The sequence below is a fragment of the Homo sapiens genome, chromosome 3, assembly GCF_000001405.40.
Source record: "Homo sapiens chromosome 3, GRCh38.p14 Primary Assembly".
NCBI lineage: Eukaryota > Metazoa > Chordata > Mammalia > Primates > Hominidae > Homo > Homo sapiens.
This window is the reverse complement of record NC_000003.12, coordinates 141,789,673-141,810,534: the sequence shown is the minus strand read 5'-3', so window position 1 is coordinate 141,810,534 and position 20,862 is coordinate 141,789,673. Positions and strand designations below refer to the sequence as shown.

The 20,862-nt window shown below is 45.5% G+C and overlaps 1 protein-coding gene across 2 annotated transcripts in view, besides 2 other annotated features; it reads right to left on the bottom strand.

Moving 5' to 3' along the window:
• Positions 1 to 20,862, bottom strand: part of GRK7 (G protein-coupled receptor kinase 7) — a 69,369-nt gene that overhangs the window by 8,818 nt on the left and 39,689 nt on the right. For both annotated transcript variants that reach the window (XM_047447449.1, NM_139209.3), the window contains one exon: positions 2,616 to 2,890. In XM_047447449.1, the coding sequence (XP_047303405.1) occupies positions 2,616 to 2,890 (275 nt within the window). The remainder of the gene's footprint in view (positions 1 to 2,615; positions 2,891 to 20,862) is intronic.
• Positions 12,856 to 12,975: an enhancer, noted in NCBI's record as "active region_20638". NCBI's record gives its function as "activates an Ori minimal core promoter by ATAC-STARR-seq in GM12878 lymphoblastoid cells {active_cell/tissue: GM12878}" and the evidence as "EXISTENCE:reporter gene assay evidence [ECO:0000049][PMID:35858748]".
• Positions 13,646 to 13,705: an enhancer, noted in NCBI's record as "active region_20637". NCBI's record gives its function as "activates an Ori minimal core promoter by ATAC-STARR-seq in GM12878 lymphoblastoid cells {active_cell/tissue: GM12878}" and the evidence as "EXISTENCE:reporter gene assay evidence [ECO:0000049][PMID:35858748]".

The following is a 20,862-nucleotide window of genomic DNA, read 5'->3' as shown; positions in this document are numbered from 1 at the left end:
TCAAAAACTAATAATAATAATAAATAATTTGTAGGTCTCCAATAACTGAATGTGAGAGGGTAAGAGGGTAGAGAATGCGTTTCCTCCCTGACAATGTGTGAGTGTACACATATAAATCTGTCTCTGAGAGGGAGAGAGAGAGGGAGAGAGAGGAAGGGAAGGAGGGATGGGAGAGAGAGAGAGAAAAGAGGCGAGAGAGAGAGAGAGGGAGAGAGGAAGGGAAGGAGGGATGGGGAGAGAGAGAGAGAGAAAAGAGGGGGGAGAGAGAGAAAGAGAGAGATTGATTGATTTAATTTAGGGCTTTGTAAATCCAAAGTCTGCAGGGTAGTTTAGCAGGCTGGAAACCCAGGGAAGGATTGCAGTTTGACTCCAAAGGTGGTTTGCTGGCAGAATTACCGTTTCTTCTGGGGAAGTCAGTCTTTTCTTATTAAGGCTTTCAACTGATTGGATCAGGCCTATCCACATTATGGATGGTAATCTACTTTACTCAAAGTCTACTGATTTAAATGTTAATCTCATCTAAAAATCTGCCCAGAAATATCTCAATAATATTTGACCAAATATCTGAGTATTGTGGCCTAACCAAGTTGACACATAAAATTAACCATCACACCCACAACCCCCGCCTTTTTATATATGAGGATATTGAGACTCAAGGAAAGTAATTCAATTGCTTGAGGTAAAATGACCAGTCTATAGCAGAGCTGGGACATGAATCTATGTCTATGAATCTAAAGCTCTTGATTTTCTCCCTACACAACATAGTCACTCACTGCCAAGGGTCTTTTCACAGGCCAACTTTTACGTCTTTTTTTCTTCTATAGTATCTTTTTTTTAGAGACAGGGTCTTGCTCTGCCACCCATGCTGGAGTACAGTGGCATGATCACAGCTCACTGCAGCCTTGAGCTCCTGGGCTCAAGTGATCCTCCCACCTCAGCCTCTTGAGTAGCTGGGACTACAGGCATGCACTTCTACACCTGGCTAATATTTGTATTTTCCGTAGAGGCACAGTCTCTCTATGTTGCTTAGGCTGGTCTTGAACTCCTGGGCTCAAGCAATCCTCCCACCTTGGCCTTCCAAAGTTTTAAGATTACAGGCATGACCACTGCGCCCGGCCTTCTAAAATAGCTTGATTTTCTTATTCTATCATAAACAATGAAACTTGGCTTCAATTTTAACAGTTGGCAATATCATAAATATTTTTTGAAGGACTGATGATATCCTACGGGAGACATTTGAAAGGAACAGAATTTTCCAGAGCTATGACTATCAGTACTGGTAGTTTTATGTTTTCATTTTAATTATTGTTACTATTATTATTATTATTATTTTGAGACGAAGTCTTGCTCTGTTGCCCAGGCTGGAGTGCAGTGGCGCGATCTCGGCTCACTGCAACCTCCGCCTCCTGGGTTCAAGTGATTCTTGTGCCTTAGCCTCCTGATTATCTGGGATTACAGGTGGCTGCCACCACTTCTGGCTATTTTTTTGTATTTTTAGTGGACATGGGGTTTCACCATATCTTGGCCAGGCTGGTCTTAAACTCCTAACCTCAGGTGATCTGCCACCTCAACCTCCCAAAGTGCTGGCGTGAACCACCATGCCTGGCTCACAGTGTGAGCCACTGTGCCCAGCCTGTTTTAATTATTTTTGAATAGATAATGTAACAGTGTTAAGTACATTCACACTACGTTGTTATGCAACCAATCTCCAGAACTCTTCATCTTGTAAAACAGAAAATTTATACTCATTAGACAACTTCCCATTTCTCCTCCCCTTAACCCCAGGAAACTGCCGTTCTACTTACTTTCTTTCTTTTTTTTTGAGATGGAGTTTCACTCTGTCACCCAGGCTGGAGTGCAGTGGCTTGATCTTGGCTCACTGCAACCTCTGCTCCCTGGGTTCAAGCGATTCTCCTGCCTTAGCCTCCCGAGTAGTTGGGATTACAGGCACCTGCCACCGCCCCCGGCTAATTTTTGTAGTTTTATTACAGATGGGGTTTCACCATCTTGGCCAGGCTGGTCTTGAACTCCTGACCTCGTGATCCACCTGACTCGGCCTCCCAAAGTACTGGCATTACAGGCATGAGCCACCCTGCCCGGCCTTCTACTTTCTGTCTCTATGAATTCGACTACTCTAGGTACCTCATATAAGTGGAATCATGTAATATTTGTTTTGTTTTATGGCTGCATGTGATTTTAATACATTTATTTACTCAACATGGTTCAGATGCAAAAGAAACTAAGGTGATACAGTGAAAATTCTTATTTGCATCCCCATCCCCAGCCCCCAATTTCCCTTCATCTGACATAACCAATCCTATAAATTCCTTGAAATATTCTATACAACCATTTGAATTATGTATTCTTTTTTCTTTTTTTAACGCAAGCTGCTTTGCACCTCACTTTTCCACCTTAAAATACATCTTGGAAATTGTTCCATAGAAAGTGCTAATAGTGTTTGAAAGTATTAGAAATGTTTAACCATATAATATGCAAATAAAAATAAGAAAATCATAATACTTAATTCCAAGACTTTGCCACAAATCAAAAGTATTCTCCTAATCCCTGTGGACAATACTGGTGTCAGCAATCCTCTCTGTTACATGCTAGTTTACCTGCTTCCTAAGCGTTGCTCTGGTTTCTTAGCCAAGAAGAGCCTGCAAATATCTTTTGCTTCCTCTGTGAAGTTATCATGCTGGAATTTGACCTCGTCTTGCAGAGTTCTTTGCTTCAGATCCTCTTTACTGACCTTTTCCTTGTAATCTTTGAATGGTGTTCGTCCAGCAACCATTTCATAAATGCTGCATCCCATGGCAAACCAGTCCACAGGATAGGAATAACTTACCTTTTCCATTAGGATCTCAGGAGCCATGTAACCATTGGTTCCAGCCTGTAACATCCCAAACAAAAAACAAGACAACACAGAACAAAGACACTAAGGTGAGTGTAGCAGACACTGCTGACTGCCTACCTAATACACATTCTCCTTTTCTTCCCTTGTTGAGGGAACCCTAATTTGTTTGGGGTGGCAATGTGTCTAACCTATTCTTTGTGCTGCTTTCCCGGCAGCTTTGGGTGCAGCCAGGGGAGGCCATGCGACCCGTTTTGGCCAATGAGATAAAGAGTTGGTGGCTAAGGTCACATGAAAAGGGAAGCCGTAGCTGCTCCTGATGTGGGAAAATCTGTTACCTCTCTTAGGCTCATCACCTCATCTTTAAGATGAAAAGTTCAAGTGGATGTCTATAAGATCCCCTAAGCTCTGCTTTTTTAAAAATTCACAGATAATAGAAAATTAGATGTATATGATTTTTTAAGGTTGAGCACTTTATTACTAATATTAAATGTTCATATGTTGTCTAGTCTATCATGTTTCTTACTCTGTGTGCTATGTAATAACATTAACATCGCACACCTCTGCCTGTCTCTGCACTGAATAATTAACACTGTCATTTTAATTGAGGAAATTCCATACACACATGAAATTTCATTTCACATGCATGACTATGTATTATAGGCACACTTCTACTGACAATATATGCCAAATGATCATTAGATTAAATATATATACATATTCACTTTATATATATACATACATATTTATTTCTATATATAAGACATATCTATTTATATATACTTGTGTGTATGGTAAATTACCCATAAAATTTACTATCTAAATCATTTTGCAGTGTAAGTTCAGTAGTGTTAAGTACATTCTCACTGTTGTGCAACCAATCTCCAGAACTACTCATCTTGCAAAACCGATAATTTACACTCATTAAACAACTTGCCATTCTTCCTCCCCTCAACGCCAGGCAACCACCATTTTACTTTCTCTCTCTATGAATTTGACTGCTCTAGGTACCTCATATAAGTGGAATCATGCAATAATTGTCTTTTTATGGCTGCATTGATTTTAATACATGTATTTACTCAAATATATATGTGTGTGTGTATATATATATATATATTTTTGAGATGGAGTATCGTTGTGTCACCCAGGCTGGAATGCAGGGTCCTGATCTCAGCTCACTGCAACCTCTACCTCCTAGGTTCAAGCCGTTCTCCTGCCTCAGCCTCCCAGGTAGCTGGCATTACAGGCGCCTGCCACCACGCCTGGCTAATTTTTGTATTTTTCGTGGAGATGGGGTTTCACCATGTTGGCCAGGCTGGTCTTGAACCCCTGACCTCAAGTGATCCTCCCGCCTCGGCCTCCCAAAGTGCTGAGATTACAGATGTGAGCCACCGTGCCTGGCCGACTCGGACTTTTCAGAGAGCGATATGACAGAGAGCAATGGGAAACGAAAGGTAACAAATTGTTCCTGTCTTTCAACCAGATTATTTAACTGTGGAGTATGTACCTCAAAGAAGAGACTCAGAAGAAAGAAAAAGGAATCTATATTGAGATGTTCATAACTTCATTAACTCAGAATGGTCACGAGCTGGAAACACCCAAAGGCCCATCAATAAGATGATAAACCAGAGTCTATTGTTAATACCAAGGAATTTATATATGTAATGATTGTCACCCACTGATTACAACTATGCATTTCAGTACTTCAGGAAAGGTTGGAAAAGTTGGATGCAGTGGTGTGTGCCTGTAGTCCCAGCTACTCAAAAGGCTGAAATGGGAGGATCCCTTCAGCCAAGGAGTTCGAGGCTGTAGTGCGATAGACGAGCCACAGCACTCTAGCCTGGGTAACTTTGTGAGACCCCGTCTCTATGAAGAAAACATTAGAAAGTGTTGAGCTGTGCATTAGGTGTTTTATTTCTAGTTGCTTAAGTATTTTTTAATGTAATGCTTTAGAAATATGAAATTTCATGGATAATTTCTACATGGATCACAACAAGAAAAAACATGAATAATCCAAGTACTAATGAAGAGTGATTGGCCTGAACAAGAAAGTTCTGGAAGTGACTAGGATCTAACGGGCTGTGCATGAGTCAGCATGGCAGTGCTGTTTTCAGAGAAGCTGGTATATAATTTGGGTGACCATATGTTCCGGTTTGCTTGGGACAGTCCCGGTTTACATCTGTTGCCCTGGCGTCTTGTCCAGTTTTGCATTTGTCCAGACAAAAGGGTCCTGTAGGCGCCTCTGAGGCCCAGGATACAGTCTTACTCATCTTTGTCTCCAAATCCAGGCACTTATCACAGGGCCTCACCTGGTGCATGCCATGTTTTTAAATAAATAACGACAAAGACGGTGACTAGATGTTTTCCATTCACTACGCAGAAAACATTTGTTGAGTCATGCCCTGCAATGAGTTCCAGGGATACCGAGACCTGTAAGGCCTGGCCCTTGCCCTTGAGGATTTAGAGACTGGTAGAGACAGACAGGTCAGAAGGTTGATTCAATAGAGTGTGGAGCACGCGCAGGGGGGCCCACGGGGTCAGTGTGTGCATGTGTGTGTATCTGATTGTGTGTGTATGTGATTGTGTGTGTATGTGAGTGTATGTGCGTGTGTGTGTGTGTGTGTGGGCATATGAGTGTGTGTGAGTGGGTGTATGCGTGTGTGGGTGTATGAGTGTGTGTGAGTGTATGTGTGTGTGCGAGTGGGTGTGTGTATGTGAGTGTGGTGTGTATGTGTGTATGTGAGTGTATGTGTGAGTATGCATGTGTGTGTGAGCATGCGTATGTGTTAATGTGCATGTGAGTGTATGTGAGCATGTGTATGAGAGCGTGTATGTGTATGTGTGCATGTGAGTGTATGTGAGCATGTTTGTATGTGCATGTGTGTATGTGTGCGTGTATGTGAGCATGTGTGTATGTGTGCATGTGAGTGTGCATATGTATGTGTATGTGAGGGTGAGTGTATGTGTGAATGTGCATGTGTATATGAGAGCATGTGTGTATGTGTGTATCTGTGCATGTGTATGTGTGTGTATATGTGCATGTGTGTGAGTGTGTGTATGTATGAGCGTGTGTATGCGTGTGTGAGTGCCTGTATGTGTATGTGTGTATGTGTATGTGTGTGTTATGTGAGTGTGTGTATGTGTGTGTGTGTTGAGAATACTTCACTGAAGAGCCACAGCTGGCTGAATATGAGGGAAACACCTAGAAGGCTATCCAGGTAATGAGCATGTGCAAGAGATGGAGTCAGAAAAAGTGTAAGGTATTGAGGGAGCTTTAAGGAATTTGGTGTTTCTAGAATACATGATTTGGGGCATGCCATGGAGGGAGGGGAGATGGGATTGAGAAACTGTATGCTAAGGTAGCAGAATCTATTCCCAGTCTCCCTTTTCCTTTGCCTCCCTCTATCACGAAATCCCAGATGACTAAAGACAACATCTCTCCCAGCCTCCTTTGCACACAGGATAGTGATATGAGCTTTATTTGAGAGGTGTGCAAGCTGAAGGTGCAAGGGCTTGGAAAAAAGAGAAGTGAGTTTACTCGAAAATAAAAGATGTAAGATTGATTACATGGATGGATAGAGAGGATGGATAGATGGACATTTGATAAAGCAAATCTAGTAAAATGTTAATGATATACAAGGAGTATTATTTGGCCATAGAAAGGAATGAAGTACTAGCCGGCAGTGGTGGCTCATGCCTGTAATCCCAGCACTTTGTGAGGCTGAGGCGGGCGGATCATGAGATCAGGAGTTGAGACCAGCCTGGTCAACATGGTGAAAACCCGTCTCTACTAAAAATACAAAAAATAGCTGGGCGTGCCTGTAATCCCAGCTACTTGGGAGGCTGAGACAGGAGAATCGCTTGAACCTGGGAGGCAGAGGTTGCAGTGAGCCGAGATGGTGCCATTGCACCCCAGCCTGAATGACACAGCAAGACTCCGTCTTGGGGGAGGGGAGAGAGGGGAAGAAAGGAATGAAGTACTGATACATGCTTCGTGAACCTTGAAAACATGCTAAATGGAAGAAGCTAGTCACAAATGACCATGTATTACATGATTCCATTTATACAGGGTGTCTAATATAGGCAATTCCATAGAGACAGAAAATAGATGAATGGTTGCTTAGGGGTGGAAGAGCAGTGTAATGGAAGTGACTGCTGAAGGATATGGGATTTCTTTTGGGGGTGAAGAAAATGTTCTAAAATTGATTGTGGTAATGTTTGCACACCTCTGTAAATATACTAAAAACCAGTAATTTTTTTTTTTGAGACATCTGTCGCCGTCTGGAGTGCAGTGGCGTGATCTTGGCTCGCTGTAGCCTCCACCTCCCCGGTTCAAGCGATTCTTCTGCCTCAGCTCCTGAATAGCTGGGACTACAGGCGTGCACCACCACGCCTGGCTTTTTTTTTTTTTTTTTTTTCAGTAGAGACAGGGTTTCACCATGTTGGCCAGGCTGGTCTTAAACTCCTGACCTCAGGTGATCCATCCTCTTTGGCCTTCCAAAGTGCTGGGATTACAGGCGTGAGCCACTGCGCCCAGCCAGTACACTTTAAATGCATGGTTTTTATAGTAGTTAAATTATATCTCAGTAAAGCTGTTAAAAATGTCAGTGATAAACTCTAGGTAATGGGTATTTCAAAGGTGCTCGTGTGAAATTCTTTCTGAATTTTTTCTGAAATTCTTTCTGAAATTCTTTCAACTTTGCTCTATGCTTGGAAGATTTTATAATAGAATATGCAGAAGGGAAAAGGAGAGTGAGGGAAGGGGGATGTGATGCCCAGCTGGCTGCTGGTTCATCAGGCACAAGGGAGTCTTCTGGAAGAGGCACAAGGAGGAAGCACAGGAGAGAGTGGATGAGGGGGATGCAGCTGCCCAGTCCTTCCCATCTCCCGTTTCCATTGCTCAGGGATTATCCGAAGAGCTATATTGCCGACATGTCATCCAGTTGATTAGCAGCTGCCCAGGAAATAAGGCTCCATACCCCACAGGATGATGTTTTATCCAGATGATGTTTTATCCAGCTCTGAAAGTGGAGGGGCAACGCAGCCTGGATATGCTGCTGACAGAGAACTGTCCAAGAGGGAGAGAAAAGGAGGCAGTAGAGGGAATGTAGGAAGGTATGTGAGGTTTGTGGTCCAGTACACCAATATGATGAAATTTCTCAAGGACATACTTTGATGTGGGGCTTTTTTCATCCACGGTGCTGGCTATCATGGCTATCATGGCTATCAGCTGGCCCCTCAATCCAGAAACCAATGGCTGTCTACACTGGGAAATTATCTCACACTATGTGTGTGTGTGTGTGTGTGTGTGTGTGTGACAGAGAAAGAGAGAAAGAGAGTTTCAGTCTGTCACCCAGGTTGGAAGTGCAGTGGTTCAATCGTGGCTAACTGCAGCTTCCACCTCCTAGGCTCAAGCAGTCTTCCCACTTCAGCCTCCTGAGTAGCTGGAACCACAGGTGCATGCCACCATGCCTGGTTAATTTTTTTTTCTTTGGTACAGACGGGGTCTCTCTCTGTTTCCCAGGCTAGTTCTGGGATCCTCCTGCCTTGGCCTCTCAAAGTGCTGGGATTACAGGCATGAGCCACCACAACCAGCCTCTCATAGTATTTCTTTGATCATTTTCTCCCTTGCATTTTGTCTCTTCTCTTTTTTTCAGAAATATTGAACTTATCCTTTATGTTTCTTACCTTTTGCTCCTAATGTCCATTCTTGTCTCTTATTTCTTTTTGAGGGGCATAGGGGGAAACTTCCCCCATTTTTTTCCCCAATTCTTCTATTTTTAAAAAAGTATTTTATTATGGGAAACTTCAAATATATACAAAACAGAGGCAGAATAATAAACCCAAAGTAGTCTTCACCTGGCTTCAACAATTATCCACACATGGCCAATATTGTCTCATCTATGTCCCTTCCCACTTCTCCTGACTATTCTAGTCATGCATCATTTGTATTTCACTATGAATCTCTAAAAGATAAGGTCACTTAGAAAACACACTAAAACAAAGCACTACAATAACATTATCTCATTTAAAAAATAAGAATAATTATTTAATATTATCTGGACATATTTGTATACCAACTGTCCTATAAACTTTTAAAAGTAAAATTTAAACTTAAATCATACAATCATTTAAACAATCATTAAACTTTTGTTTAAATTTGGATCAAATGTGGTTCATACAATGATTGTCTCTTAAATCTCTTTTATAGGCTCCTCCTCTGTCTTTTTTCCCCACCTAGCAAGTTTTTGTTGAAAAAAAGGGGCCAAACTGTAGTTTCCCACAGTCAGATTTTGCTGACTGCATTCCTGTGGTGTCATTTAACATGTTCTTCTGTTCTTTGCATTTCTTTTTTTTTTTTTTTTTTTTTTTTGAGACGGAGTCTCGCTCTGTCGCCCAGGCTGGAGTGCAGTGGCGCAATCTTGGCTCACTGCAAGCTCCGCCTCCCAGGTTCACGCCATTCTCCTGCCTCAGCCTCCCGAGTAGCTGGGACTACAGGCACCTGCCACCACACCCGGCTAATTTTTTGTATTTTTTAGTAGAGACGGGGTTTCACCCTGTTAGCCAGGATGGTCTCGATCTCAGGACCTTGTGATCCGCCCGCCTCGGCCTCCCAAAGTGCTGGGATTACAGGTGTGAGCCACTGCACCCGGCCCATGCATTTCTTGTAAACTGATGGCTAGACATAGAGGCTTAATTCTTCTACTTAACTTTTCAGTTTTGCCAATATGATTTTATTGATACATAATTAATATACAATAACGTGTACAGTTCTTAGACATTCAGCTCAATGAATTTTAATAATTAAATACGCCCTCATAAATACCACCCAAACAAGATATAAAACATTTCTGTCTGTCCAGAAAGTTCCCTTGTGCCCCTTGCCAGTCAGTCCTCGCCACTTCTCAGGCAAACACTTTTTGATTTCTGTTACTATAGATTAGTTTTGTCTGTCCTTGAATGTTGTATAAATGGTACAGTATAGTATGTATTCTTTCATGTCTGACTTATTGTATTTAACATATCTTTAAGATTTGTCCATGTTTTTCTGCAAATGTATTTACATATTTTTTATTTCCAAATGTCCTTGTTGTTCTCTGAATGTTCCTTGATTTACAGCATTTGTTCTTGTTTCATGGAGGCCTTATCTTCTCTTTAATCTCAAAAGATAATAATTACAAGTTTTAAAAAATAGTCTCTTCTATTCCCTGCATCGTTCTTGTTTTCTACAAGTTCTTTTCCTCTGATTGTTTTGGTTCTGTCTTTCATTTTGAAGAGTTTTTTTTTTTTTTTTTTTTTTTTTACAAATGACAATTGATCTTTGTCTAGTCATTCATATTTAAGAGTGAAGCACCAAAAAGCTGACTATAAGCTATGTGGAGTCCAGCTTATCAACTGACAAGAGGGATCAGGTGGGATATCTCCATACCCCACCTGAGAAGTATCAGCCTGCTTGCTCTCATTTGGGGAACTGAGATGGGAAGGAGCTGAGGGTCTCCCTGAATATAGTATTTCACTTCCCACAGCTCTCCTTTGGGCCTCATGTTCTTGGGTCCTGCTTCTGTCTGGTTCTTTATGACTCTGCTGGGGTGGCAGAGGCATAAAGAGACTATAAACAACATCCAAACGAAGTTAAGTCAGTGGCAGTCAGTAAGTTCTATTCAGCAACATTTATTGCGAGCTTGCTCTGTGTGGCACCCGTCCAATGAGCACATTTCAAAGGTGAGTGACATTAAGGATTAAAGTTACTAATGAGGATACTGGATAAACCTAAGTTGCTCGGTAGAAGGTGTAGGGTGAAAGTGGACAACATACCTTGCCATGAACAAAGGATTGTGAAACACATGCTGAGAGAAAAATTGGAAATAATAATGGAAAACATTATTGAGTGCTTATTCCATGCTAAATATTTTCTGTAGTGCTTTATGTGAATTCCTCATTTGATCTCCATAGTAACCCTATGAGATAGCGTCCATTTTGCAGATTAGGAAACTGAACCATAGAGAGGTTAAATCTTGCCTAAGATCACCAACCTAAGAATCACACACAGGCTGCACCTTGTTTTTTTTTTTTAGACCGAGCCTCACTCTATCACCCAGACTGGAGTGCAGTGGCATGATCTTGGCTCACTGCAACCTCCACCTCCCAGGTTCAAGTGATTCTCCTGCCTCAGCCTCCTGAGTAGCTGGGATTACAGGCGCTCACCACCACGCCCGGCTAATTTTGTATTTTTAGTAGAGACAGGGTTTCACCATGTTAGCTAGGCTGGTCTCGAACTCCCGACCTCCTGTGATCCATCCGCCACAGCCTCCCAAAGGGCTGGGATTACAGGCGTGACCCACCATGCCTGCCCTGGCCTGCGCTTTTCACTACTACATTATTCCGCCTCTATAGAAGTAGGTGAAGTGACTTTTTCTTACCCCTCCAAGTTCCCTTCAGGATTTCTTTTCTCCCTTGTAGAGTCCCCTTCTTCCCTCTCCCCATTTGCCCAGTACTAAGTCCTTGATCTTTAGCATTCTTGCTAAAGATGTTTCCCTTCCCCTTATCCCAGTGAATTCTCCATTTTTTGCCTGTTTCAGGCTGGCTCGGCTGCTCCACACAGCAGAGGGTTCTGGGAGATGGGACCAGACCCTGGGCCATGCTCTGCAACCACCTCCCCAAGGAAATAAGTAAAGAATTGGCCTGCCATCTTTACAGCACTGTAGACCCCCTGGTGTAGTGGAAAGAGCATGAGACAGCGTGCAGGAAGGCCTTAGATTCATTCCAAATAATTTTCAGGACTAAATTCACCTCTTGGTCCTAAAGACAGAAAATGTCAGCCATGGAGCTTTGAAGGGCACCACCTCCTTGAAGAGCGGAGGTATTTCACTGAGGAGAATGGAATTAGAGGCGCACGCCAGACTTTAAGCACCCACATTCCATTGCAGCCTCCAGCTGAAAAAATTAATTGCCTGCCCTTTATGCCATTTGTCTTCTGCATGTGAACTGCCTCCTCAGAGTAGGGTGGGAGGAGAGAACGCGCCAAGCAGCGTGGAGCAGGTCCAACCACGCTGACCTCTTACAGCTGGGTTTAACTCCTGCAGTTACACAGGGCCCTGCGCCTCTGTCTCAGCAGCATCAGAACCGTCTCCTTCAGTGCATGTGACCAGAACCGCCATGCCCAGGGCTGTAGGGATTGCCCGAGTATCAGCACCTCTTAGTGGAGGGGTGTGTGGGTGTGTGTGTGTGTATGTGTTTTATCCTTTTCTGGGTTTTACCTTATTTTACTTTGGGTTTTATGGTGCCCTTTCCAGACCCACACAGTCAACACCTGGTCAGGCAAAAACCAAGTATACCCAGCATTGGGCGACATCGAACAACAGACCTCACGGGGTTTAGCACGCCTGGCAGTGCCAGTGCCCCTCCCCCATCCCCTCAGGGGCAGCGGGAAGTCCTTCTAGTACAGTAATCTCAAGCTTAGTCCCATCAGGGCCACCTGTCACCAACAGGTGTCCAGACATTGGGGAAGGTAGACACCTTAAGGTGTGATTAAGATCCCAAGCCCGTCCAGATACCCCCTACATTGTTCTTGCTGTTGGGTGCTGGCCTCTTCCATTGACCCTGTAGCTGTCACTCTGAACCGAACTGGCAGGGCCCAGGCTGGCCCTGGACAGAGTCCCAGTGTGGCTCTGGACAACCAGGAACCAGACTGTGACCTTCGCAGTGCAGAGAACATGGAGGGGCTTCTGGTGGAGCTGAGAGGGCACAGTTCACCTCTTAACAGTTTTACAAGTCCATGAAAAAGTATGAGTGTGCGCAGGTCCTTCAAGGTCAAGGACACGAGCAACCCTCCACCTCCCATTAAATCTGAAAACTTGGCAACCTCCAATTCCACTATCAAAAGAAACGGCCGTGTCTTCCCTTGGGGTGGCCGGGCCAGGCTGGATTAGCGACGCAGACGGGGAGAAAGGAGCCGGAGAGGAAGCTCCGCGATCCCGGCGCGGCCCAGCAAAAGCACACTGGCACGCCGAGCCAGAAATCGCCCGCGGATGCCTCTTCCCCCAGCTCATCACAAACCAGATCCAGTCGACAGCACAATCCAAACAGAAGAGGGAATCAGAATGTACATGTTTTGTTTGCCGTGGCAGGAGAACTGTTGAGCAGAGGAAAAAAACAAGCTGAGCTTAGCGCTATCAGCTGTTTCCTGGGGCTCTCTCCTTCCTTCCTCCGAGGGGGGCCTGGCCGCTTTGTTCTCGTTCCCAGCTGCTCCTCTGCGCCTTTAAGCAGTGGCCTTTGCAGACCTCGGAGGAATGCGGCCCTGGGACCCCAGGGGACTTAGCTCGAGGCTCCGCCCGCCCCGCATGCTCGGCCCCAGGCCGCAGAATCAGGAGCGCCGCAGTGTCGCGCGGAGGCCGCTCCTGCCCCTGGCTTCTCAGGGCTCGCTTTCTGCCGCCACTTCCTGGGCGGGGAGGGCGCATCCCATCAGAGGCGGCTTCCTGCTCTCCCTGACACCCCTGGAAGGACACCCATTTCACAGAGCCCACACAGGGAGCCCAAAAGAGGGGTCGTCACAATAACACTTTTTGCAGGCATAGAGTCTGGGGTGAAATGGCTCCCACACTGGCGTTGGTTTGCTGTAGTTCAGATCCCAGCTCTACCAGTTATAAGCCGGTCACCCACAGCCGCTTACTCAACCCCTCTGAGCCTCAACAGTTCTTGCCTTATGGGACTGTGACGAAGATTAAAACGATAAAACAGATTGGGTGTCGACCCAAAACCTGGCGCACAGCAGGCCTGCTACCACAGTATGTATTAGCGGCTGTTGTTACCATGCCTGGGTTCTGGTTGTCTCAGGCAGGACAGCTACACAAGACTCCATCAGACTGAAAGGCAGGGCCTGGCACATGGTCAGAGATCAATAGTTCCCGTTCTTTCACTTGAGCGTGTTCTTCAGTGGTTTCATGTGCTATGAATCTCTCTGGCAGCAGGCTGAGGCATACTTTCCACGGTGCCTCTAAGATGCTCAGAAGAAAACCACAAATGAAACCCCACACAGCTGTGAGGAAGCAAGACAACTGTGAGTGTCTGCTTGGCTCAACCCAGATGCAAGCTGCTCACCCACTGCCCACTGCTGCAGCCTTGGGGTCCCGCTGGCTCCCTGTGCCTCGCAGAGAACAAAGCACAGCTGCAGAGGTCACCTGAGCAACTACAGTGCCTGTCAGGTGAGGCAGAAACAATTGCAACAGCGGGGATTGTGACTGAAGGTCTGGAGCTTCTTGTACAATCATTTCTTGAGTGCCTACCAAGTGGCTGACCCTCGGCTAGGCATTTATCTACTTTGTTTCTTAATCTTCTCATCAACGCTAAAGGCAGGCAGTATTAAGCAGGCTCAGAGAAGCAGTCTGACTTGTGTAAGATCATGTGCAGGGCTGTGGCCAACCCATGAGTACATTTGTGCCAATTAGAAGGCACTCCAAATGTCTTGGTGCGTGGAGCAAACCAGCCTCCCATGTGACGTCAGCCCCCACTCTCCCATGCAGGGAGTCAGCCTGCACATCTGTACACAGCAGCCAGAGTAAGTGGCAGAACCAGGATTCAAATGCTCAAGCTCCTTTCTCCTTGACCTGCAGGACTATATTTCATCAGCTGCGCATGATCTAAATGAATGCTCTGAGCTTCTAACATGTGTCTATATTAGATTAGATGACACGGCAACCATTAGGTCCCTGAACTGTATCATGTCACATGACAGCCCCCTCCTGCCGCATCCTGCAGACCCCCTGGCCCAGCCTCTCCTTATTCCCGTGACTCCATTAGACAATGTGCAAGCCCACAGTTCCCTGAGTCCTCTGCTTCCCTCCCAGCCTTTCTGTGCTCATTCTAACTCCTTCTCTTTGATGTAATTCCAAGGCTATTTTTTTTTTTTAACATAGAGCAGAGTCTCGCTTTGTTGCCCAGGCTGGTCTCCATCTGCTAGGCTCAAGTAATCCTTGTGCCTTGGCCTCCCAAAATGCTGAGATTACAGGCATTAGCCACCACACCTGGCCCCAAGATTGATTTTGTCACTTCCCTGCTAAAAACCTTTCATCGGTTCCCCAGCACCCTTGCCAATAGGTTCAAACTCCCCTTGTGCAACTCCTCCAGCCCCTAGGGCCTGGTGTCTGCTAAACTCTCTAGTTGTATCGTTAGTCACCCCTCCCACCTCATGACTCCACACTGCAGCCAGCTGCAAAGCCACTCTGTTCTGCGACTGAGCCTCAGGCCTTGTGCTGCGAGGCCTTTATGCCAGGGTTTTCAAGTGTGGCACTGTGGATGTTGTGGGCTGAATATGCTTTGTGTTGGGGGCTGTGCTATTCATTGTAAGATGTTTGGCAGTATCCCTGCCTCTACCCACTAGATGCTGGTAGCAGTTCCCCAGTCATGACAACCAAAACTGTCTCCAGACATTGCCAAGTATCCCCAGGAAGTTTGGCACAATCACCCGCCATTGAGGACTATTGAGCTCTGCTGATCCCTTTACCTAGCGCATGCTCCTTCCTCTTTACCTGTCTGGCTTCATGTCTTTTAAGTCTTAGCTTGGTTGTCCCTTCCCCTTGGAAGCCCTTCCTGACCCTGTGACTCCAGGTCCTCATGTTGGGCTGGGTGCCCTTCCTATGTACCCAGCTCAGACAACCCTGATCACACCGTATTATCACTGCCCATGTCCTTGTCCATCCCTTTCCTCTCCTGGAACTTCATGAAGGCAGGCATTTGTTTGCCTGGTTCCCTGTTTAGTATTCAGGGTCTTTGTTTGCCTGGTTCCCTGTTTAGTACTCAGGGTCTAAGTCTGTGCTTGTGACACAGCCTTATCTAACAAATCATTCTTGACACCCCATCTCCCTTAACCCCGTATCCAAACCATCACTGAGGCCTATTCACTCTGAAATATTATATCGCCCCAATTCATCCACTGCGTTCTGTCTCCACTACTCCCTCTGTGGTCTGAGCCCCATCACCTCTTACCTGGATTACAAAGACCACAAACTACCTGAATCTCCTCCAATCTGTTTCACTTCACCTGGGGTAATCTTTTCAAAACAAAATTTGAAACATGTTGTCCCCTTCATGAAACCCTGCCACAGCTTTTCCAGTGATCAGAGACGATCACCCAAAGTCCTTAACATGGCCCATAATGCCAGGTTCCGTCTGGCCCCTGCCACCTCTCCATCTTCATTTGAACCACATTTCCTCTTACGATGTGCTTTTCATTTCCTGGCTTCCTTTTCATTTCCCCTAAAGCAAGAGATACTTGCCCAGACTATTCCCATGGCCTGAAATGCTCTTCCCCACCTGTGGGGGCTACTTGGCTCCAATCCCCTCTTCAGGTTCTTGGCCCCCACCCTCCAGCTGCTGGTGCCAGGCCAGTTTCCAGTGCCCATGGACAGGGCCCTGTGCTCAGAGGCATACCTTTACTGGGGTTTAATGCTGTTTGTAATCATTTATCTTTGAATTTGTGTCTTTTAAGTGAAGTCCAATAAGCCAATAGAGCCGTACTTGGAGCCTCAGCTCACACAGTCCCCCTCCTGCCACCTGCTTGCCTCCCCGGGATGGGTTCATGGCTGTCTGCTTCCCCACCTCCCACTTCTACCCCCACCCTCACCCAGTGACTATTGCCACTTTCTGCCTGGTAGGGGCCTGGACTCAGGTGCAGGGAGGGCTGGGGTCAGGCACATGCTTCCTCAGGTCCAGTCGTGGGTTGGAGCCCTGGGTGTCTGTGAGGGTCTCTACTCACTCTTTGAGTATCCCAGAGCCTGGGGAAGTATGACATTAAATAGCAAATCCAAACCCTATGGCTGGTTGAAAAATAGAGCATGAAAGGAGGCTTTTTCCCGATATTTGAAGAAGAGGCCCTATATTTTTATTTCACAGTGAGCCCCCAAATTTATGCAGCCATGCCTGGCTGGGGCCACTGCTTGCTGATGGCTCACAGCTGCACCCCTCCCTGGGAACTGCCTTCTGCAGCGGGGATGGCATCCCAGGCTTCCGCCCCCTTCTGGCAGCTACTCACAGTCACTGACTGCATCCTTAGGGATACACAAGTCTGGACCCCACCTCAATTTGGGCCAACTCAGAAGAGTCATCCCAACTCCAGAGCTCCCTGAAGGATGGCTGAGGTCTTAGTCCCCACCGCCTGCCGCACTAGGGGTGAGGTTCTCTCTGCCCAGTCCTGCCTTCCTCATGGCTGCATCTCAGGAGAGCACTCCTGAGTAGAAGAAACAAACTCAGTTTCTCCCACAATACTCTCAAAACACAAACCAGCCAGCAATCCATTCTGCAGCAGATGCGAGCTGGATGTCCTCTAATTCAAATCCATTATGACACTATCTCCTGGAGACAGTGCCAGGTCCTACAGGGTGAGGGCTCAGTCCCCAAGGCTGCCTCTAGGCTTTGAATGCCAGTGGCAAGTCCAGGCCTTCAAAACTTCTGACCCACCAGCTGTAAATTGAGGTCCCCACAAACCTCTCTTTGGGTTCAATTAATTTGCCACAGCAGCTCACAGAATGCAGGGAAACACTTATGTTTTCTGGTTTGTTATAAGGGATATTTTAAATGACACAAATAAGCAGCCAAATGAAGAGTCATACAGGACCAAGTCTGGAAGGGTCCCAAGTTCAGAAGCTTCTGTCCCCATGGAGCTGGGGTGAGCCACACTCCCAGCACGTGGATGTGTTCTTGTTCATCTTCCTGGAAGCCTCCACGTGATTGGCTATCAGGAAGCTCTCTGAACCCTGCCCTTTTGGGTTTTTATGGAGTCTTCATTACACAGGCATGATTGATAAAATCATTGGCCATTGGGGGATAGGCTGAAAGTCCTAACCCTCTAATCCTACCTTGGCTTTTCTGGTGACCAGTCTCCATCCTGCAGCTTCCTAGGGGCTGCCAGCCATCAGTCAACTCATTAATATACAAAAAGATGCTTTTCACTTTGAAGATTTGGAGTTGTATGCCAGAAAATGGGATGAAGACCAAACACATATTTCACAATATCATAGCTCCCCAATATCTTCCATGTGTAAATCTGTCTCAGTCTGTTTCCAGGGAGCCCAATCTGAGACACCACCGGAACCTCTTTGCTGAGTGAATTCCTTTCCTTCTAGTATCATGTAAGTTGAATTTCCCATGTGGTTTACTTTTTGATTTTCACATATTAAGTCAAATCCTCCTTGGAGAGCCCAATGTACCATGTCTTCCCAGCATTTATCATAAGTGATATTTAATACTTATTTGAATGATTATTAAGTTCCCTTTTTTTTTTTTTTTTGAGACAAAATCTTGCTCTGTTGCCCAGGTTGGAGTGCAGTGGCATGATCTCCACTCACTGCAGCCTCCGTCTCTTGGGTTCAAGCAATTCCCCTGCCTCAGCCTCCCGAGTAGCTGGGACTACAGGCATGTGCTACAATGCCCGGCTAATTTTTTGTATTTTTAGTAGAGACAGGGTTTCACCAGGTTGGCCAGGCTGGTCTCGAACTCCTGACCTCAAGTGATCTGTCCGCCTCGGCCTCCCAAAGTGCTGGGATTACAGGCATGAGCCACCACGCCCAGTCTGAATGTTTATTAAGTTCTATCTTCCCCACTAGACTGTAAGCTTCATGAAGGCAGGAATCATGTCCATTTTCTGCTCTTCCTTCTATCCCTCAATTTTTTTTTTTTTTTTTTTTTTTTAGATGGAGTCTCGCTCTGTCTCCCAGGCTGGAGTGCAATGGCATGATTTCGGCTCACTACAACCTCCGCCTCCCGGGTTCAAGCGATTCTCCTACCTCAGCTTCCCAAGTAGCTGGGATTATAGGGGCCCGCCACCACACCCAGCTAATTTTTGTATTTTTAGTAGATACAGGTTTTCACCATGTTGGCCAGGCTGGTCTGAAACTCCTGACCTCAAGTGATCTGCCCACCTTGGCCTCCCAAAGTGCTGGGATTACAGGCATGAGCCACGGCACCTGGCTATCCCTCATATTTAGAACAGTCCTGGCATGTGGGAAACACTTGATACATGTAAGTTGAATAAACAAGTGAGTGAGTGAGTGAATAAAGGCATGCCTTTTGGATGAAGGAATGTTAAAAGTAATTACAGACTGTAATGAATATTTTTGAATGCCCTTGGTAGTGGTAAATAATTTAAGAATAGATTTCAAATTTCTGTAGGGGTCAAAAGTTAGTAGGAATTAAATTTGGTCAATGCTGGTGGTAATCCTTTTGGTCAGGCCAAAGTGTGACCATGACTTCATGCCTCATGTGACCAGAATGCCTCTCCTGTATGTCTTTCTTAAGCTAGATCTCAGAAGTGAGCACTTAAAGAAAAAAAAAACTGGGGGGCATGGTCATGATGGTTGTGACATATGGAGGCATTAACTCCCAAGAAAACATGTTCAGAGGTCTTTTAAAAATCACCTTTCCAGTATGTCTCTAGCATTGTATTTGGTACAATAGATGCTTCGAAATAAATATAATACCAAACCTCTGTCTCCCATTATCCCTCTGAATGTGAGGAGTTGGTCAGAGACTTCAAGGCAGGACCAGGTATCTAAACATGTAACAAGCTTCTGGGTCACTATTCTAACCTCATTCCCATTCCTAACAAAATAGCAAATTTTAAAGACTCATATTGCATAATACCTGAAGGTCACTGCTCACCAAATAGAATTCTGAATTTAAAAAGTACAAGCATGATCCTCACTCCCCAATATTCCTATTATATTTACTTGGAATCTTTTACAATGATACAAACTAGTTTCACTGTGTGCATGTAGATGTCAACTGAGCACAGGCAGAAGTGCTTATCACATTTATTAAAAGTGCATGTTGACCGGGCGCGGTGGCTTACGCCTGTAATCCCAGCACTTTGAGAGGCCGAGGTGGGCAGATCACCTGAGGTCAGGAGTTCCAGACCAGCCTGGCCAACATGGTGAAACCCCGACTCTACTAAAAATACACAAATTAGCCGAGTGTGGTGGTGGGTGCCTATAATGACAGCTACTCAGGAGGCTGAGGCATGAGAATTGCTTGAACCCTGGAGGCAGAGGTCGCAGTGAGCCAAGATTGTGCCATTGCACTCCAGCCTGGGCAACAGAGCAAGACTCCATCTAAAAAAAAAAAAAAAAAAGTGCATGTAGACAGTGGCTGGAACATGTTTAATTGTGCTGCACCTATGGGTAAGAAGCTGGCTCTGAAATATTAATGGCCGTCATTCCCTGTGTAGGTGGGGCTGATCCTTTTCTGAAGTCTTCCTTTCTTAGAAGTTCAGCTAGGCTTGTGGTTGGTGTCCATATCAGACCAGACTGGGAAGATATGCTAATGTCATCACATGCACTTATTCTGTCTGAGTCTTACTAAGTGAAAAGCCTTTTATAGCATTAAAAACCATAATGCTGGCTGGGTGCGGTGGCTCAGGCCTGTAATCCCAGCACTTTGGGAGGCCGAGGCATGCAGATCATGTCAGGAGATCAAGACCACCCTGGTTAACTCGGTGAAACCCTGTCTCTACTAGAAGTATAAAAAATTAGCTGGGCGTGGTAGCATGCGCTTGTAATCCCAGCTACACGGCAGGCTGAGGCGGGAGAATCACTTGAACCTGGGAGACGGAGGTTGCAGTGAGCTGAGATCGTGCCACTGCACTCCTGCCTGGGCTACAGAGTGAGACTCTGTCTCAAACAAACAAACAAAAAAACATAAGGCTATATGTTGCCATGTGCATGAACTCAATAAGATGGAGTCAAAACTGTGAGCGCTTTTAAATCTGATGTGCCTGGAATCATATCACATACTAGTACTGTGACTTTGGGTCTCAATTTCCCTACCTGTACAATGGAGCTCAGAACAGTACCTAACTCAGAATCTTTTTGTAAAGGGTCCCAAGAGGCTCAGCTCATATGTAGAAAAGAGTTACCTACTTGGAACTCTTAGGTCTCATCATCCCGTGATTAAGGGGTCAGAAAGGTTTTAAACTTTTCAAACCATTGAGGTAACAGCAGTTATTAGGGGCCTCCACTGTTTTG